General features: G+C 33.3%; 1 protein-coding gene and 1 pseudogene across 9 annotated transcripts in view; one reads left to right on the top strand and one right to left on the bottom strand.

The window, feature by feature from the left end:
• The window catches only part of CSMD3 (CUB and Sushi multiple domains 3), a 1,214,012-nt gene that overhangs the window by 312,671 nt on the left and 880,356 nt on the right, over positions 1–20,985 (bottom strand). For all 9 annotated transcript variants that reach the window (NM_001363185.1, XM_017013010.2, NM_052900.3 and 6 more), the window contains 2 exons: positions 16,996–17,122; positions 15,073–15,275 (listed from right to left, as the gene is read on the bottom strand). In NM_001363185.1, the coding sequence (NP_001350114.1) occupies positions 15,073–15,275; positions 16,996–17,122 (330 nt within the window). The remainder of the gene's footprint in view (positions 1–15,072; positions 15,276–16,995; positions 17,123–20,985) is intronic.
• Positions 3,291–3,716, top strand: RPL30P16 (ribosomal protein L30 pseudogene 16; annotated as a pseudogene).

Raw genomic sequence — 20,985 nt, forward strand, 5'->3', positions numbered from 1 at the left:
AGGTAATTTATAGATTCAATGCCATCCCCATCAAGCTACCAATGACTTTCTTCACAGAATTGGAAAAAACTACTTTAAAGTTCATATGGAACCAAAAAAGAGCCCGCATCGCCAAGTCGATCCTAAGCCAAAAGAACAAAGCTGGAGGTATCATGCTACTTGACTTCAAACTATACTACAAGGCTACAGTGACCAAAACAGCATGGTACTGGTAACAAAACAGAGATATAGATCAATGGAACAGAACAGAGCCCTCAGAAATAATGCCACATACCTACAACTATCTGATCTTTGACAAACCTGAGAAAAACAAGCAATGGGGAAAGGATTCCCTATTTAATAAATGGTGCTGGGAAAACTGGCTAGCCATATGTCGAAAGCTGAAACTGGATCCCTTCCTTACACCTTATACAAAAATTAATTCAAGATGGATTAAAGACTTAAATGTTAGACCTAAAACCATAAAAACCCTAGAAGAAAACTTAGGCATTAGCATTCAGGACATAGGCATGGGCAAGGACTTCATGTCCAAAACACCAAAAGCAATGGCAACAAAAGCCAAAATTGACAAATGGGATCTAATTAAACTAAAGAGCTTCTGCACAGCAAAAGAAACTACCATCAGAGTGAACAGGCAACCTACAAAATGGGAGAAAATTTTCGCAACCTACTCATCTGACAAAGGGCTAATATCCAGAATCTACAATGAACTCAAACAAATTTACAAGAAAAACTAAACAACCCCATCAAAAAGTGGGCAAAGGACATGAGCAGATACTTCTCAAAAGAGGACACTTATGCAGCCAAAAACCACATGAAAAAATGCTCACCATCACTGGCCATCAGAGAAATGCAAATCAAAACCACAATGAGATACCATCTCACACCAGTTAGAATGGCAATCATTAAAAAGTCAGGAAACAAGTGCTGGAGAGGATGTGGAGAAATAGGAACACTTTTACACTGTTGGTGGGACTGTAAACTAGTTCAACCATTGTGGAAGTCAGTGTAGCAATTCCTCAGGGATCTAGAACTAGAAATACCACTTGACCCAGCCATCCCATTACTGGGTATATACCCAAAGGACTATAATTCATGCTGCTATAAAGACACACGCATGCGTATGTTTATTGCGGCACTATTCACAATAGCAAAGACTTGGAACCAACCCAAATGTCCATCAATGATAGACTGGATTAAGAAAATGTGGCACATATACACCATGGAATACTATGCAGCCATAAAAAATGATGAGTTCATGTCCTTTGTAGGGACATGGATGAAATTGGAAATCATCATTCTCAGTAAACTATTGCAAGAACAAAAAACCAAACACCGCATATTCTCACTCGTAGGTGGGAATTGAACAATGAGAACACTTGGACACAGGAAGGGGAACATCACATTCTAGGGACCATTTTGGGGTAGGGGGAAGGGGGAGGGATAGCATTAGGAGATATACCTAATGCTAAATGACGAGATAATGGGTGCAGCACACCAGCATGGCACATGTATACATACGTAACTAACCTGCACATTGTGCACATGTACCCTAAAACTTAAAGTATAATAATAATAAAATAAAAAAAAAGATTTCTTGAAAAAAGGAAATGTAAACAAAACACCCCAAATAAAACCTAAAATATACAACAACAGCAGTACTAATTTATAGCAGGAAACACCTATACAAAGAAGTAGAACGTCTTCAAATTAACAATCTGATGCTCCTCAAAGAACTAGAAAACAATGACAAATCAAACCCCAAATTAGTAGAAGGAAAGAAATTATAAAGATCAGAACAGGAAAAAAAATTGAGAGTGAAAAAAGATACAAAGGATAAAATGAAAACTCTCTTTTTGAAAAGATAAACTAAATTAACAATTTTTTCTTAGCTAGATTAAGAGAAAAGAGAGAAGCCTCAGGTAAAAATCACAGCCAAAAAATGAGACATTAAAACTGATACCACAGAAACACAAGGAATTATTAGAGACTATTATGAAGAAGAATATACAAACCAATGGGAAAACTTAGAAGTACATGAATTTCTAGACACATAAATCTACCAAAATTGATCCATGAAGAAATAGAAAACTTGAGCAGACCAATAACAAGTAATGAGTTCAAAGTAGTAAAAAAAAAAAGTCCCCCATCAATAAAAAACTCAGGAACGAATGGATTCACTGATGAATTCTACCAAACATTTAGAGAAGACCTAATACCAATTCTAATCACACTATTTCAAAAAACTGAAAAGGAAGTACCCTTCCAAACTCATTCTATGAGGCCAATTTACTCTGATACCAAAACCAAAGACACAGCATGAAAAGAAAACAAAGAGCCTCAACCAAATACTAGCAAATTGAACACAATAACACATTAAAAAGATCATTTACTGTGATCAAGTGGGATACATCCCTGGGATGCAACTATCATTCAACATATTCAAATCAGTGAACAGGATACATCTCATTAGCAGAATCATGGACATAAACTATATGAAGCATTGCAACAAATGCTAAAAAAAAAGCAGTCAACAAAATTCAGCATCCCTTAATGATAACAACTCTCAACAAACTGGTTATGGAAGGAATATATCTAAAAATAACAAAGGCCATATACAACAAACCCACAGCTAACATCATCCTAAACAGGGAAATGTCGACAGCCTTTTTTCTAAGATCTGGAACAAGACAAGGCCAAGAATGACCACTTTTATAACTTTTATTCATCATAGTACTAAAAGTCCTGCCCAGATCAATTAAATGAGAGAAAGAAACAAAAAGGCATCGAAATTAGGAAGAAGTAATATTGTCCTTGTGTGCAGATGACATGATCTTATATTTAGAGAAACCTAAAAGATTCAACCAAAATGTTGTTAGAACTTATAAATAAACTCAGTAATGTGGCAGGATACAAAATCAACATACAAAACTCAGTAGCATTTTTATATACGAATAACAAACCATCTGAAAAAAAATCATGAAATAAATCCCATTTACAATAGCTACAAAATATATAAAATACCTAGAAATAAATTTAACTAAAGGAGTGAAATCTCTCTACAATGAAATTTATAAAACACTATTAAAACAATAGGACACAAGAAAAATGGAAAGACATTTAAGTGTTCATAGATTGGAAGAATTAATATTTTTATAAGGTCCTTACTACCCAAAGTCATTTACAAATTCAGAGTAATTTCTTCCAAAGTACCAATGCCATTTTCTTGCTCCTTGGCCATCTTGGTGGGTGCTCTTGAGTGGGGCCTGTCCTGCACCTAAGGCAGGAAGATGGGGGCCACAAAGAAGATGAAAACCTCACTGGAGTCAATTAACTCTGGAGTCCAACTCATTATGAAAAGTGGAAAGTATAGGCCAATATCTCAGATGAACATAGATGCAAAGAGCCTCAACCAAATACTAGCAAACTGAACACAACAACATATTAAAAATATGCTAAGGTACAAGCCAACTCTGAAGATGATCAGACAAGGCAAAGCAAAATTCATCATCCTTTTTAGAAACTGCCTGACTTTGAAGAAATCTGAATTAGAGTACTAAGTATTGTTGGCCAAAACTGCTATCCACCACTACAGTGGCAATAACACTGAATTGGGTACAGCATGTGAAATATACTACATACAATGCATACTGGCTATCATTAATCCGGGTGATTCTGATATCATTAGAAGCATGCCAGAATAGTCTGGTGAAAAGTAAACAATGCAAAATTTTTATTTAGTAAAACTTGCCAGAGTTCATTTTTTTATTTAAAAAAAAGTACCAATGCCACTCTTCAGAGAAAATTTTTTAAAAATTCTAAAATTCCTATAGGATCAGAAAAGAACGTGAATAACTAAAGCAATTTGGGAGCAAAAAGAATAAAGATAGCTTAGTGGCATCAAGCTATCTGGCTTTAAAATATACTGCAAAGCTACAGTAATCAAGACAGTGTGATACTGACATAAAAATAGACACACAGACGAATGGAAGAGGAAAAATAACTCAGAAATAAATCCATACATCTACAGCCAACTCATTTTTAACAGATACACTGTGAAAGGACTTCAATAAATTGTGCTGCAGAAATTGGATATCCATACGTAGAAGAATAAAACTAGACCCCTATCTCTCACCATACACAAAACTAAAATCAAAATAGGTTAAGACCTAAATGTAAGTCCTTAATCTATGAAACTACCAGAAGAAAACATTGGGAAATACTTCAGGACATTAGTTCTGGCAAATATTTTTTGCATAAGACCTCAAAATACAGGCAACACAAGCAAAACTAAACGAATGTGATTATATCAAACTAAACAGCTTCTGTAAAGCAAAGTAAACAATCAACAGAGTGAAGAGATAACCTACAGAATGGGAGAAAATATTTGCTAACTGCCCATCTGACAAGGGACTAATAACCAGAATATATAAGGAACTAAAACAACTCAATAGCAAAAAAACACAACAAAACAAACTAAAACAAAAAGAAACCCACAAATAATCCAATTAATAATGAGCAAATGCTTTGAATAGGCATTTTTCAAAATAAGACATACAAATGGCTACCAGGTAAATGAAAAAAATGCTTAACATTACTAATAATCAGGGAAATGCGAATCAAAACCACAACGAGATATTATCTCACGCCAGTTAAAATGGCTATCAGAAAGACAGAAAATAACATGCTGAGAAAGATGCAAAAAAAAGAGGGAATGCTCATGCACTGTTGGTGTGAATGTTAATTAATGCAGCAACTATATAAAATAGTATGGAGTTTCCCTTAAAAGCTAAAAATACAACTACCATATGATCCAGCATTACCATTGCCGGGTATTTATCCAAAAGAAAGAAAATTAGTATATCAAAGAGATAGCTGCACGTGCATGTTTATTGCAGCCCTATTCACAATAACGAAGGTATTCAATCAACCATCATTTGATGAGTGGATAAAGAAAATGTGCTATATATACACAATGGAATGTTATTCAGCCACGGGGAGGAAAAACATAAAATCATGTCATTTACAGTAACATTGGTGGAGCTAGAGGACATTATGTTACGTGAAATAAGCCAACCACAGAAAGACAAATATTGCAAGTTTTCACTTATATATGGGGGCTAACAAAAAATTGATCTCATGGAGGTAGTGAGTCAAATGGTAGTTACTAGATACTGGGAATTGCAGCATTCCAATGGGATGAAGAGGGTACAAAAATACAGTTATACAGAAGGCACAAATTCTATTGTTCAATAGCACAGTAGAGTGATGATAGTTAATAAGAATTTATTTTATATTTCAAAATAGCTAGAAGAGAATATTTAAAATGTACTACACAAAGAAATGACAAATGTTTGATATAATGAATATTCCAGTTACTCTTATTTGATAATTACATATTGTATGCGTGTATCAAAATATCCCTTGTACTCCATAAATATGTACAACTATTACATACCAATAAAAAAGAGAAATAGAAAACACCTCAAGATGAAACAAAAACACGATATGCCAAAATGCATGGGAAACAGAAAAAACAGGACTATGTAAGAAGTTCATAGCAATAAACACCTACATAAAAAGGAAAAATGTCTCAAGTAAATAACCTAACTTTCTCCTTCAACGAACTAGAAGAACAAAGAAGCTCACAGTTAGCAGAAGGAAGGAAATAAGATTAAAGAAAATATAAAAACATAATAGAAAATAGAAAAACAATTAAAAAATAAAACTAGAGTTGGTTTCTTGAAAATCTCAACACAATTGAGATTCCCTTAGCTATTCCAAGAAAAATGAGATAAGACTAAAATAAATAAAATCAGAAAAGAAAGAATAATGCTACAGAAATAAGAGACATAAGAGACTATATTGAACAATTATATGATTACAAGCTGGATAACTTAGGAAAAAAAGTGGACACATTTATAGAAATATACAGTCTACCAAGACTAAATCATGAGAAATAGAAAGCCTGAACAGACTCATTATTAATATGGCCATTTAAGCAGTATTTTAAAATCTCCCAACAAAGAAAAGCCCATGACCAGATGACTTCACTGGTGAATTCTACCAAACGTTTAAATAAGAATTAATTTCTATCCTTCTCAAACTCTTCCCACCAACCCCCGCAAATTGAAACAAAACAAAACAAAACCAAAAACAAACAAAAAAATTTCCAAATTAATTTTGTAAAGGCAATATTCCCTGATACCAAAGCCAGAAAAATACATCACAAGAAAAAAAACTAGAGATCAATATTTCTGATGAATACATGTACAAAAATCCTCAACAAAATACTAGCAAACTAAATCCAACAGCACATTAAAATGTTAAAAGGATCACACACAATGTCCAAGTCGGATTTATTCCTGGGACAGAAAGATAGTTCAATATACAAAAATCAATTATTTTGATACACCACATTAACAGAATAATGGATTAAGATCACATGATCACATGATAATTTCAGTAGATGCAGAAAAAGCATTTGACAAAATTAAATGCCTTTTCTTAAAAAAAAATCCTCAATATATTAGGAATAGAAGAAGAAAAATGTTTCAACATTATAAAGGCCATATATCAAAAGACCACAGCTAACATCATACTGTCTGGAAAAAAAAAAAAACTGAGAACTTTTCCTCCAAGATCAGGAATAAGCCAAGGATGTTCACTTCCCACTCCTATTCAGCATAGTACTGCTAGTCCTGGCCAGAGCAGTTTAGGAAAGAAAAACAAAAGGCCTCCAAAATGAAAAAAAAAAAAAAAATAGGTAAAATAGTGTCTGCTGGCAGATGACACAATCTCATATATAGAAAATCCTAAAGACTTTATCAAAAAAACTGTTGGAACTAATAAATTCAATAAAGTTTCAGGATACAAAATCAACATACAAAAATCAATTGTGTTTCTATATACACTAACAACGAACTATCTGAAAAGGATACTCAGAAAACAATCTAATTTAAAATAATCTCATAAAGAATAAAATACTTAGAAATAATTTAACTAAGGAGGTGACAGACTTGTATACTGAAAACTATAAAACAATAATGAAAGAAATTAAAGATACAAACAAATGGAAGAACAGCCTCTGTTCATGGATTGTAAATAGAAAAAAAAATTTCTACTATTCACATGAAACCAAAAATAACTTGAATAGTCAAATCAGTTTTGCAAAAGAATAAAAAACTGAAGGCATCAGACCTCCTCATTTCAAATATATATTACCAAAGTACAATAATCAAAACTGTATGGTACTGGCACAAACAGAGACATATAGAACAATGGAAGAGAATAGAGAGACCAGAAATAAATCTATGAAACGGTAACAGGTCCACACCATAAGACAGGGCAACAAAAAGGTGTGGACAGTGGTGGAGGGGTACCAGGAATGCACAAAGGGGAGAGGATAGTCTCCTTGACAAACGGTATTTAGAAAATTGGATATCCAGAAGCAAAAAATGAAATTAGACCCTTATCTTACAGCCTACACAAAAATCAACTCAAAATGGATTAAAAGCTTAAACGCCAGACCTGAAACTGTAAAACTTCCAGAAGGAAATAAAAAAAAGAGAAGAAAGCTTTATAACGTTGGTATTCACAATGATTTCATGGACATGACACCAAAGGCATAGGTGACGAAAGCAAAAATAAACAAGCAGGAATACATCCAACTTAAAAGCTTCTGTACAATCAACAGGGTGAAATGGCAAGCTATGGAATGGGAGAAAATATTTTCAAGCCATACATCTAATAATAGATCAATATCCAAAAGACATAGGGAACCTCTACACCTCAATAGCAAATGACTGATAAAAAACAGTCAAAGGTCTTGAATAGGCATTTCTATAAAAAAGGCATACAAATGGACAACAGGTATATAAAGAAATGGTTAACATAACTAATCTTCAAGGAAATGCAAATAAAAATCTCAATAATATATTACTTCATACCTGTCAGGAGGGTTATTATTTATTAAAAAAAGGTGTTGGCAAGAATATGGAGAAATAGAAACTCTTACATGCTATTGGTGGGAACGCAAAATGGTGCCAGCCACTATGGAAAATATTATGAAGGTTCCTCAAAAAATCTAAAAATGAAACTACTTTACGATCCAACAATCCCATTTCTAGATATTTATCCTAAATAATAAAAATGAGGATCTCGAGGAGGTATTAGTATTCCTAAGTTCATTGCAGTATTATTCACTATAGCCAAGATGTTGGAAACAACTTAATTGTCTAATGACAGATTAAGAAAATATGGGAAAGACACACAGTGGAATACGATTTGGTCTCTAAAAGAAGGATTCTGCAATAGTCAGCAACATGAGCGAACCTTGAGGACACTATGCTAAATAAAATAAGCCAGTCACAGAAACACAACTACTGCATGACTTCACTTATATGAGGTATCTAAAATAGCCAAATTAATAGAATCAGAGCCTGAAATGGTTTTTTCCAGGGGCTTAGGGGAGATGGGATATGAGAGTTACTAATCAACTGGCATAATATTTCAGTTTAGCAATATAAATAAGCTTTAGGGACCTGCTATATAGTGTTGTACCTATAACCAAAATAATGTACCCTACACCTAAAAATTTGCTTAAAAAGTAGATCTCGTGTTAATTGTTCTTACCACAGTAAAATAAATTGAAATAAAAATAATGTGGCTGTTGAAGATAGGTACTGTAAAATGATTAACACATATTTAATATATCAGGTACTTTAAAATGATGAGGATGTATTTAATGCATTATTATGGCTTCAAATAACCATTCAATCTGATCCATATTTTGGCATATATTAATAAAACTGCCCTCTTCACTAGCCTATAAAATGTAAACATGATACACAAAATAATAGTGTTTCATTTAATTCAATGTTTTACTAATTTCTGTTCACACAGCTAAATAAATGATCAGTGCATGATTTTCCCTCTTAAAAAAGTTTTATCACTTATCTAAATAAGTTTTATTGAAATGGGATTATGTGCTACTCTCTGCTTTTTAAAAAAATTTGTTTCTGGATGTATGAAATTCTTGGATTTACAAATAGTGATTAAAAAACTATTCTGGATCATTTTCTGTTATCTTTTTGGTTTCGTTTCAATTTTCACAAGGATTGGTTTTTGTAGAATCCTTGCTGATCTCTGCTTGGGTGTTTCTTGACAGCCCCTTCAGCAGAACTGACTTTCCTTTTGGACATCTTAGTGGATATCAGCTTTCTTAAGAAATGAATGTTCAGTACAAACTTTTTCATTAAACATTTAATTTTTAAAATCTCATTGCTGCCATAAAGGTCTATTGCAAGATAATAAAGCATATTTCAATGATAAAGTAATTAGTTCCAAATTTACACAATAAAATAAACAGCATATATACTCGTGGCATGAGTATTCAGGCTATATTTTGTAGGTCTGTAAATCAACTGCTCAGTCTCTATTTCTACACATACTTCAAGAACACATATTTCCCATATTTCCCCCTAATCCTGCCAATTCATGGCCTGGCAGTCTTACGTATCATTCAAACCACAATACATGCTGTAGCATAACTATCTGTTATACAAAATATCTGTCAGGGCAACAATGTCAAATGCTCCTCCTGGCCAGGCACAGTGGTTCATGCCTGTAATCCCAGCACTTGGGGGTGCTGAGGCGGGCGGATCACAAGGTCAGGAGATCGAGACCATCTTGGCTAACATGGTGAAACCCCGTCTCTACTAAAAATATAGAAAATTATCTGGGCCTGGTGGCACGCGCCTGTAATCCCAGCTATTCGGGAGGCTGAGGCAGGAGAATTGCTTGAGCCCGGGAGGTGTAGGTTGCAGTGACCCAAGATCGTGCCACTGCACTCCAGCCTGGGCGACAGAGCGAGACTCCATCTCAAAAAAAAAAAAAAAAAAAAATAATAATAATAATAATAATAATAAATGCTCTTCCCACCACCATCTAGGGTCAGAATGGGTGACCTGTTCATATCTAAGAATGCTTCATTTTATCTCTAAGTGTCCTATGTTCTATCCTTGAAAGGTAAGTGTTAATCACCTGGCATCTGGAAAAAGTTGAGAAATAGATACAAGTTATTATGGCAAAAACCACAATTACTTTTGCACCAACCTAATAGTATTTGTCTTTCAGATGTAACCATGCATTATAATTACTGAGCACTGCAAACTTATGTCACAAAGCGGGGATCTAATAAATACACTGTGGCTTATTTTAATGAACTACTAATAGTGATACTTTGTTAAAAAGGGAAAATACAGGATAAATGTCAACACAGTCAGAATGCCAGGACAACAGGCATAAATAAGGACTGTCCTTAGTAAACCAGGGAAGAGCAGTACATATGTGGAAATGGAAATAAGTAATTCTGTCTAGTAGTTCATTGCTACTAGAAGTAGCATTTAGCCTATGTCCTGGAAAATGACTAAAATTGTACAAATTTTGAATGTAGGTACAAGTGTTTCAGGAATATGGAAGAGAGTTTGCAAAGCAGTAGAAACGTGCGACGATATTGTCCTTTCAGGACAATTTAATTAGACCTCTGGATGTATATAAATGAATAGTGAGGAGTGAAGCTGGCAGGTAGGTTGGGACATATTCTGGAGGCTTTAAATGTCATGCCAAAGTGTTGAGTTTAGATTTGTGTGGCCATTAAATAATTTTCAACAGAGAAGTGATGTCCAATTTTGTATTTCGGAAAGATCAGTCAGGTAGAAATGTGGAGAAAAGTTTTGCTGGAGGGATAAAGAAGTGAGTGGCTAGTCGACTGTTAGAGCAGTGCAGGGAACAATAATAAGGATGAGAACAAAGGCAGGGGCACCATGCAATTGGTTAAAGCTGGGGAACTTCAACCTCTCATGGCTAAGGGATATATTTCCTTGAGATTTTTCAACAGTATTAGCTACGGGCCTCAGCATTTTGTATTACCCAGCAGGGGAAGATTCTCAACAGAGAGGTCAAAGAGTGAAGAGCATAGAAAATGCTCTGTCAGAATCTACTATTCTGTGGGCAAATGACAGCATGATACCCAATGATATCTTCCCTGGGGAACTAAAGTGGAATGAGACAGGCAGATTAAAATGTAAGCAGAGGATATAGAAGCTGACTACTGAGAAGTGAGGACAGCACATAGGACAGCGTGAAGTGGCAATGTTAGACTTAAGTAGCTCTGATTAAGCAAAAGTGCCTTGCAGACAATAACACCAAGAGATAAAGCAACAGACTCTACAAAGGATGAATGGATCATGAAATAAAAGTCATGAGGCTGCCGACAGTGGCTTGATGATTATCAAGTTGGTCTGTGGCCTACATTTCTGTTAAATTTACTTTGCACCAAGTTTGGGGAAACACGTATCACCTGTTACATTCATTGGTGAAGACTGTTCTGCTACTATTGCCTGATTTATTATTTTTAATTAATTATTTTGACTTTCAATGGACAGCTATTTGCTCAAAAGAAGAATGGAATTAAATTGTACTAATCGGGGAAGGGGGGCTCAAATAAAATCTGACAATTAAAACGACAATACTTCCTGATTTTGTAGGAGCATCCTGGTTTGTGCCTATTGCTGAGCTTAATTTTTATTAGCACTTGCTTTTAATCTCCAAAATACCTTAAGTTTGGATAGTAAATTATATTATCACCCTGTACAAAATATGTGTTTTATATAGACATTTTAAGAGACAAAGGTATCCATGATATTAATATATTTGGGGGCGCAAAGGCACCATAATTAAAATACCATTACCAGCCTGGCCGACGTAATGAGACCTCATCTGTACAAAAAAAAAATAAAAATTAGTGAAGTGTGGTGCACACCTGTAGTCCTAGCTACATGGGGGGCTGAGGTGGGAAGATCGCTTGAACTTAGGAGGTTGAGGTTGCAGTGAGCTGTGATTGTGCCACTGCACTGCACCCTGGGTGACAGAGCAAGACATTGACTCTAAAAAAACAAAAAACAACCAAAAAACTTCTAGAACAATGAATTGCTACGCCTTTTATACTGGTCTTTATTTGGGGAAAAAGAAATACAACTACTGGAAGGAGCATGAGCTAGAATAGTAAGAAAATATTTTACTGAAAAGGGATCTTGGCACAGAGTCTGGAAGAATGAGCAGAATTTAAGCACATGGGAGCAGAACTAACACTAAAGAAAAAAGAAGGTTTGGTGATGGAAAGCAGCAGAGAGAGAGAGAGTGTATGAAATTAAGAGTTGCTTGAGTTAATGAAAAGATGAGTTTGAGAATTAATTAGTGATAAATATGTTTAATACCTGGTTCTTACTAGACTCTCCTAGGATGAATGAGTGAATGAATTAGCGGATGAACATATGAATGAATGGGTAGGATGAAATAGATTTATCTAGGGAAGAATAATTTAGGTAAAGCACTGAAGTGGCAAACATGATCCCACGAGCCAAGTTTGACCCACGGTAGTTGTTTAGTGGCCTATAGTCCATTTACATTCTCTTTAATACCACTTGTATACTTTAGAAACTAGATGACTTTAGATAAAATTTCTTATTTCAAATTCCACTTTAAAATTTTCCTGTCTTCCTATAGGGCAAAATGCTTAGAACCAGAGAGGGCATCTGTCCCTTTCAGATGGGCATGTATGTACTCCGGCTTTCCTCCATTTCTTCTCACGGTTTCACTCATATTTCATCTCCTTTTTTAGATTGGGACCTTTGATGTGGTGCTTGGAATTATAATCAGGAAACCAAATTGATTAAAATGTAGAACTCCATTGCAGCTAATAATATATAACTGAAAGCTTTCTATTCCCCCTGGCATATTAATGCATGTATCTAGAATAATAATACTGTAATAATAACTACTAAGCATTTAGTATGTACAAAGCATGACATTAATCTCCTTTCAGACATGTGAGTTTCAGTTATCACTCCAGGCATCTGCTAGTTGTATGATCTTGAACAAATTAACTGACTTTCTGAACATTAATGTATTTCTTTGGGCAATGAGAATGATAACCATATCTTATATGGCTTTTGTGAGAATTAAATGAGATTATGTATATAAAGCATTTAACTTGATTCTTGGCACCCATCAAGACTTCATTCATGAAAAGAATATTTTCCCATTTCAAATCTGAACACTTGAAAAGCTGTGTAAGCACATGTTTTAGAAAAGATCTCTAGCCAAGAGGTTAATTTTTCATTCACAATGTAGTAACCATCAATGTAACTTTATTTCAATAGGTTGATTTTAAGGCTCAGATCAAATTTCTATTCATCTTAAAAAAAACTTATGAAGGCAGAGTTATTAAAGCTCTAGTATGAAATATATTGTTTCTATAACTTTAATGTGCCCTACAAATATAATAAATATAAAAATGTACTGCTATTTTCACAGATTATCTACAATAAAAATTCCCAGAAATGCATCTAAAATAGTGTGTTTCCACTTAACCAGATAAGGTTGAGTGTAAAGTGTAAGTTGCATTTGCAAACACTGAGCTTGAGACACCTTTCCATATTACTGTATGCAGATATTTAATTGCAATAACAATTTAAGTGGAAAACACTATGTATTACTAATCTAAAGTAAAAGCAAGAATTGTTTATTGCTAAACTACAATAGAAATAACTAAAATTAAGCCGCTCTCTGACAAATTGTTCCCACTTAAAAAAATAAACAGTAGAGAGTAGAATATACAAATATGAAGAATATTTCATTGGTAAATGTTTTCTAATTCGGAGCCATTTATATTCACCTATTATATGATTATTTTCTTATTTTATTCCATTTTCTCAAAATATATATTTAAAGTGCAAATTTAGAGATATTGACTTTTCAGTTTATACCTCTCTTTCACATGAACTTGGGTCATATAGTACAAAATAATTTGTTTGTGTTAGTAGGGAGAATAATTGTGTTCCATAAACAAAAAGTCAGCCAAGACAATTGTTTAACTGTATAATTGTTTACTTAAAACGGTATATTTTGTTGGCACTGATTTCAAAAGTCCTTCCTTCATACTTTTTTAAACTATTTGTATTATTTATTTTCAAGACATTTCAATGTTACATTTATTTATGTAAAAATAATAGTTCATTAGGTACCAGTTATCTACTCAATACCAAATACTGTGCACACATGATTCTGTTAGATTTAATAACTTATTTATGAGATGAGCATTGTTATTCCTACGTCAATTAGAAAACCCAGTATCGGGTCACTAGGTAACGTGCCCAAAATTAGCAGTTAGTAAACAGCCAGAATTTGAATTCCGACACATTTGAAGAGTACTGGTTTTCACTCATAGTTGATCATAGAAACATTGACACATTTCTGTTAATAGGACTTTTTAAGACTATACAGATAAAAAATCTATTAGATAATTTTCTCAAAGAGATAATGTGCATTAACAAGTTAAAACAGCATTTAAACATTTTAAGTTTTTATTCATTTTATCCATCAACTAAACTAAAATTTCTTTTACAGAACAACATATATTTAGCCACTTAGCAGTGCCATGAGAAGAAAAAAATTAGCAAGACAAGAACACTGGTAATTACTTACAAGGAATGCTATTTCATTGTCATATTATTGTTATAGAAAATCTTTAATTTAAAAGCCATCTGAAATATTTTGTCAAAGATGTCTGTGAATACATAATTAAGATATTTAGATAATTTTTAAAAAACAGGAAAAATGTAGGGTTGTATTTTTTGTAATAGCAAGTAGTCATTTCCTTCCTCATCTGCAAAACTTCATATTTTAAAACTTCTACTTTTATACTATTTCCAGATTATAAGCTTTTGTGATGTAATTTTTTTTTTAGCTGAGTAATTTAACACCACTTTTACTTTAAGAATAAATGATTTTACAGGTGGAGAGAAGTCTCAACAATCAATATTCAAAGTTAGTTGTATTACCTTTTTCCCATGTATATTTTACCTTTGCTGCAGAAATATAGGAAGACTAGAAACACGAATATTTAAAATCATTAAAATTTTAAAATTAAAATTTTGAACAGTAAAGTTAACATGACTATTTACATCACCTTCCTATTTTGCATTGAAGAAATTTTTTGAAAAAACTTACTTGAAAACTGAATTGCAAATCCAGATTTGCTAATATAAAAATCCGTGTCAAACTGGATGGTTACTATATTGAGGGTGCTATGAATTCCTTCAGGAATAAGAGATCCACTAATTTCCTTTAAAAGCATATCATTTTCTGGTGGACCGTCCCAGACTCGGAGTATATCATGTGATGCTTCCGTATCAAAAGCAAGAAACTGCAAGCTGTGGGAGAACCATATTTCTCTGATTATTTTAAACAAGGATTCAACTTTAAAGAAAAAATAGAACAAATGTGCATTATGCCTTTTACTAGATAGTTCTTTTTTGCTATGTGTTAAAAATGAATTACATAAACAGCATATATTCTTAATATATTTTTCTTGAGACATATAATTTGTTTTTTTAGAATATTATTAAATACAATATTACATCACCTTTGCAAATTGTAGAAACTTCAGGCATACATTCTTTCCCGTGTTCATGGATTTAACTAGGGCAACAGCAGGGGACATTTATAGATAATCTTCTACATGCTAGGCACTGTGCAAAATGCGTTACATATATTTTATTTGTTTAATTGTTATAATGACCCAATGAAATATGAATAATTTTTATCTTAATTTTACAAATATGGCAAATGGAGTTTAGATAAATGAAATAATTTCCCAAAGAGTGGCATAGTCAAAAATTGAACTCAAGTTTTCTGACTCTACAGTACATGCTTTTGCCACGTTTCATGTTAAATCTATTCTGTTTTAAGTTTAAGCTAGACAAAATTAGAATCGGGTGCTTTTTGTGCTTGGTGCAAAATTTAGAAATCTAATTATATTGACATGCTCAACTCTACATACAATACATTTATGTTTGATACATGAATCGTTACAGCTTTAAATTTAAGTTGCAATTTAACATCAAATAATGTTTAATTTTTAGAAATTGCAGAAATCTGGTGAATTTATTACTTTCAAGTTTAATAATATTTATATAAAACAATGCACGACTTAGACTAAAGAAAAATAAACTGGGGATGATATAGTGTAGTCTATTTTCAGTTTGCACATTGCCTTGCAAAAGTAATGTACCAACTCACACTGCATCCATCAATGCATAGTAGTATACCACCTAGAAGCCTGTCTGAAATTCCATTGTATATAAATGGAATTTATATTACTACTTTATATAAGTAGTAATTCTTAAGTTTTAAAGTTATTGTTTGTTATTGAAAACACACCAAGTAGCTCATATGTCAAGGATGATTCTAGCCAAAGCTGCATAGTAAGGCTGGGACTGAGAGCCTGTGATAGCTTTGGAAGTCAGACTGGTGTTGATTTGAGATAATGACTCTGTACTTATCTAAGGGGTAGTAACAATGTGAGGAACTCTGCGGAAAAGGGAAATCTAACATGATTACATGGGCAGAGAGCAAGTGTTTCACAAATGTGTTTAGGGACAAGGACAACAGGAAATGGTATTCAGTCCCCTTCTATTCTTATTTCTCCTAATTGTTAATGAGGATGCACTAGGGTAATAATTTGCAAAACTCTGTATATCAGTCAAAATGGGCCAGGTGTAGTGGCTCACACCTGTAATCCCAGCACTTTGGGAGGCAGAATTGCTTGAGCCCAACATTTTGAGACCAGCCTGGTCAATATAGTGAGACCTCGTTTCTACAAAATATTTAAAAATTAGCCTAGCCTGGTAGCACATGCCTGTATTCCCACCTACTGGGGAGGCTGAGGTGGGAAGATCATTTGAGCCTATGAGGAGGAGGTTGCAGTGAGCCGAGATCGAGCCCTGCCTTCCGGTCTGGATGTCAGAGCAAGACTCTGCCTCAAGAAAAACAAACAAACAAAAAATGAAATAAATGGATATTAATTTTATATAGGGGTTGGTTAGGCACTTCAGATTCCCTAGTAATGTTGAGAAAATGAAATTCATTTACCTGACAATATTTCCAGGATCTACCTCAATCATCCACATGCAACGCAGGTTATTGTCATATGGAAAAGGATAGCCAGGAGATAAGATTCTTCCTGATGATTCTCCTTTAAAACGACCTCCACATTCAGCTGATAAAAAATAATAGAAATTTAAGCCACAATTTAATGCCAATCTTTTCAAAACAATCTACAAATTTCTCATGAGTAGACAAAAGAATACTGATTTTCTTGTTTCTTTAAAGTATACATTTGTATAAACTTTTAAAGTATCAATTGAAGCAAGAATATATAATACAATCAAATAATAGAGTCTCAAGTTAGAGCACAAAAAAGACAACAAAACTGAAACCTACTTAAAGAATTAAAACAAGACACACTCAAAACCTCTGAGTTAGGATTCCAAACATTTTAAGATGTGTTGTTAAATAACGATAATTTTAAAAGGGAAACAGATGGCAAGTTGCTCACTGCTAACAAATTGCAGGCTGAATAATTCATCATCTTGCTACCCCGCCTTTGAGAAAAACTAATCTTTACTGCAGTCCCTCAGGCCTTCTAAATTTCATTGTCCTTTTATTTCCCCTTTAAATCATTTTAAACCCTTTCCCTTGTACTCTCCCAAAAGTCAAAATGGCATTTTTTATTAGATTCCTTACTTCAGTAAAATCTAGTTAGGTTTTGATTTAATGTGGTCTCTAATTTTTATAAAAATTATCAAACTAAGAATGTGAGTATCGTCATGCAATATAATTAAAATTTTATATTTTAGGGGATTCCTTCTCCATTTTAATACTATTTAATACTGTTGTGATAACTGGAGTGATTTTACGTCAGTGAACAACCTAGAAAGAGTCTCTGTACTGGAAAAGAGAGAAACTAAGTATTTTAGTTAGCATATTGCTCTACGTCTTTAAACCCTAGAAACAAGGAAAACACTGTGGAATGCCTTACACATTTGAATCTTTTGTGATAGTTCTTGTTATCAGGCACTTGTGCATGAGAACCCTCCCCTTATGGCTTTCCCAGCTCTGTTTGTCAGAGTTTTTAAAACAAGTGACTCCATTTTGATTCTGACAACTTTCCTATTATCTTAGATTAAATAACTGAATTAAACTTTTTATTTTTGATTATTATTATTATTAGACCAAAGAAGGTCAAAGCAGGAAAGTTTTAGCATTTGGAAGAGACCTGATAACACTAGAATCTAATGGCTCAAATTTGTAGGCTGCATATATGTTAACTTGTTTTAAAAATTTTAGATACTATATTGCACCAAACTGTGATGGATAGTTTTATGTGTCAACTTGGCTGGGCTATTAGTGCCAGTTATTTAATTAACTATTTTATAGGTATGGATAACATCTACACTCAGTTGACTTGTAGGCCTCATCCAATAAATTTGAAGACCTTAAGAGCACAACTAAGTTTCCTGGGGGGAAAAAAAAGAAATTCTTTCTCAAAACTTCAGCAACTCCTGCCTCAGTTTCTAAGCTATTAACTTGCCCTATGGACTTTGGACTTATCAGCCCCCACCATTGCATGATTCAGTTCCTTAAATTAAATAAAGCTCTATAGATAGATAGATGGATAAGGAAGACAGAGAGAGAGAGACAAAAGAGAGAGACAGAGACAGAGAGAAAGAGAGATATCCTATTGGTGCTGTTTCTCTGGAGAACCCTGACTGATATACCCATGGAGGGCTAAGGGAATATTACCTTTTATTGCAACATTAATTTAATCTAATTTACAATAACACACTCGGGAGATTTTTAAATTAAAAAGATATTAGTATTTAAGATGTTATCACCATTTATGGTTTTTCATTTTTTTCTAACAAAAATTCTTTTGGACAATCTGTAAACATAATTGTATTAATTCATTTTTCATCATTTATTTATGATTTATCACTATTTGATTACATTTAATTTGAGAACAGAGTTGATACTTATTCTTCTTGATTAATTTATAGTCAATTAGAGAATTTTGCACTATATTGCATCTTGAACTTAAACATAGCTGTTTCCCCCCATATTTCTTTGTTATAAAATATTACCTGGCATTTTTGACCTCAAATGAGCCAGTGTCATATGCTGTAGTACTGGAGTTCATATTCTATATAAAACTTATGTTTGCAGAATAAAATGAAATTTAGTGTTTAAAGAAGAGATACAGGTTAAATCCTTCCAGCTATGGTGCCTCAAAAACTAATTTTTGTTTCATCAATGAATAAGATTCAGAAATATAATTACCTATAAGTAATCTAAATAATTAAGAAAAGTTTCCTTATTTGACTGAGGCTAAAACATAGCTGTAGAAGATATTTAAGGTTAATGAGCACAGGCTATTATAATCATAGGCCAAGTGTTAAAGCTATTAATCATTGCGAGTAGAGAACACCATCTAAAATAGAATTTCATCTTCTGTTATCATCAAATTATTCAGTATCACTCACCATATGTCCAACTGTTTATAGCTGCTAAATTTATTTGATCATCCATCATTAGAATTTTAATAAAGAAGATTACCCTACCTGTGAAATCTTGTGCAATATCAAGTCAACATGTTTTGATTTTGAGTACTTGTAAACATAAAATGCATTGATTTGCTGCGAACATAATTAAAACCTTCTGATCTCATACTAAATATCCTTCCATTTGTATAAAACCTTTCCAAAAAGTAGAGAATATCTTCAGCTTGTTTCAACACACATAAAAATATATATGCTTTTAATGTATTTGTTTGTGGTTTTAATTTTAAAAACAGCATGGCAAGTCAATATTTATACATTTATGGTATTGTGCTATTAAACTCTTAAAGCTTTTCTGAACATATTTCATAATCACATCAGAGAGAATTAGTCAGTGGTACATTTTTCTCATAACCAATGCCAATGGGCTGATTATTGATCATATTCCAGCTTTTGGCAATTTAATTTGATTATTATTTTAGGTATCACCCTCACAATCTCTCCAAAATTCAGATGCCGTCTGAAAAGTAAGAACTGTGATTGCATTTTAGTTAGATAAAACCATGTTGTTTTCTGCATGAATCAATGTTTTAATAAACCAACAGAGGTCTCATAGCATCAAAACCACTACGCAATTAGTTGCAAGGCCTATAATAACTAGAATTTCATATTTTCTATTTGTATTCTAGCAAGTTTTATGGCAATTCCTATGCTGACCACATCAAAAAACGACAGAAATATTCTACTTTTGTCAAAAGGTCCAGGTCTTAAAAGGTAAGTCAAATTGCACATTAAATATGTGTAGTTTTTTGTATATCAATTATACCTCAGTACACCTTCTAAAAATAAAAGATTTGAGTCAATTTTATCCATATAGGCCTGACACAGAATGGATTTCTGCCTCTATAAATGCCATCAAAAAAAGAAAGGCTGAAGAATCACTGCATATATGTTCTCTGCTGGAGAGTTAGTGTTTTGCTACAAAGTTGTTTTCCTTTGTTGTCCTAGTATTCCAATCTGACACCTACTTGGTCTTTAGAGCAGAAAAGAAAAAGAGAAAAAGAGAGATCTCTATCCACACCTGTCAATATTTGTCTATCTACCTTCCCACCCCCACCTACCCATCTATGCATTAACTAATCTACAAGATGGTAGGAATAAAATGGTACCCCAGCTATGCAAAGAAGACAGAAAATGATCATTCTCTAGCTTCACGAAAGCAATATATCTTATGTCACTCTCACATTCCTTTTCCTACTGAAATTGAGTGCTATGCTGTAACATGCATGAGAAAAGAGAATAGGTTACTGTTTTCTCTAATCCACCTTGATTCCACAATAGGTAATAATTTTGTAAATTAAAAAAATCTGGCCAATGCAATTCAATAAATGTGTATAATTAAAAGTCTTAACATTTTAGTAATGAGTTCCATTTTATGTCGAGGTAGCAGAAATAAAATGACTTCAAAGAGACCATATTGTCCCCCACAAACTAGAAGATTATGGGAGGAATAATGAATAAAGTT

The sequence above is a fragment of the Homo sapiens genome, chromosome 8 (assembly GCF_000001405.40).
Source record: "Homo sapiens chromosome 8, GRCh38.p14 Primary Assembly".
Classification (NCBI taxonomy): domain Eukaryota; kingdom Metazoa; phylum Chordata; class Mammalia; order Primates; family Hominidae; genus Homo; species Homo sapiens.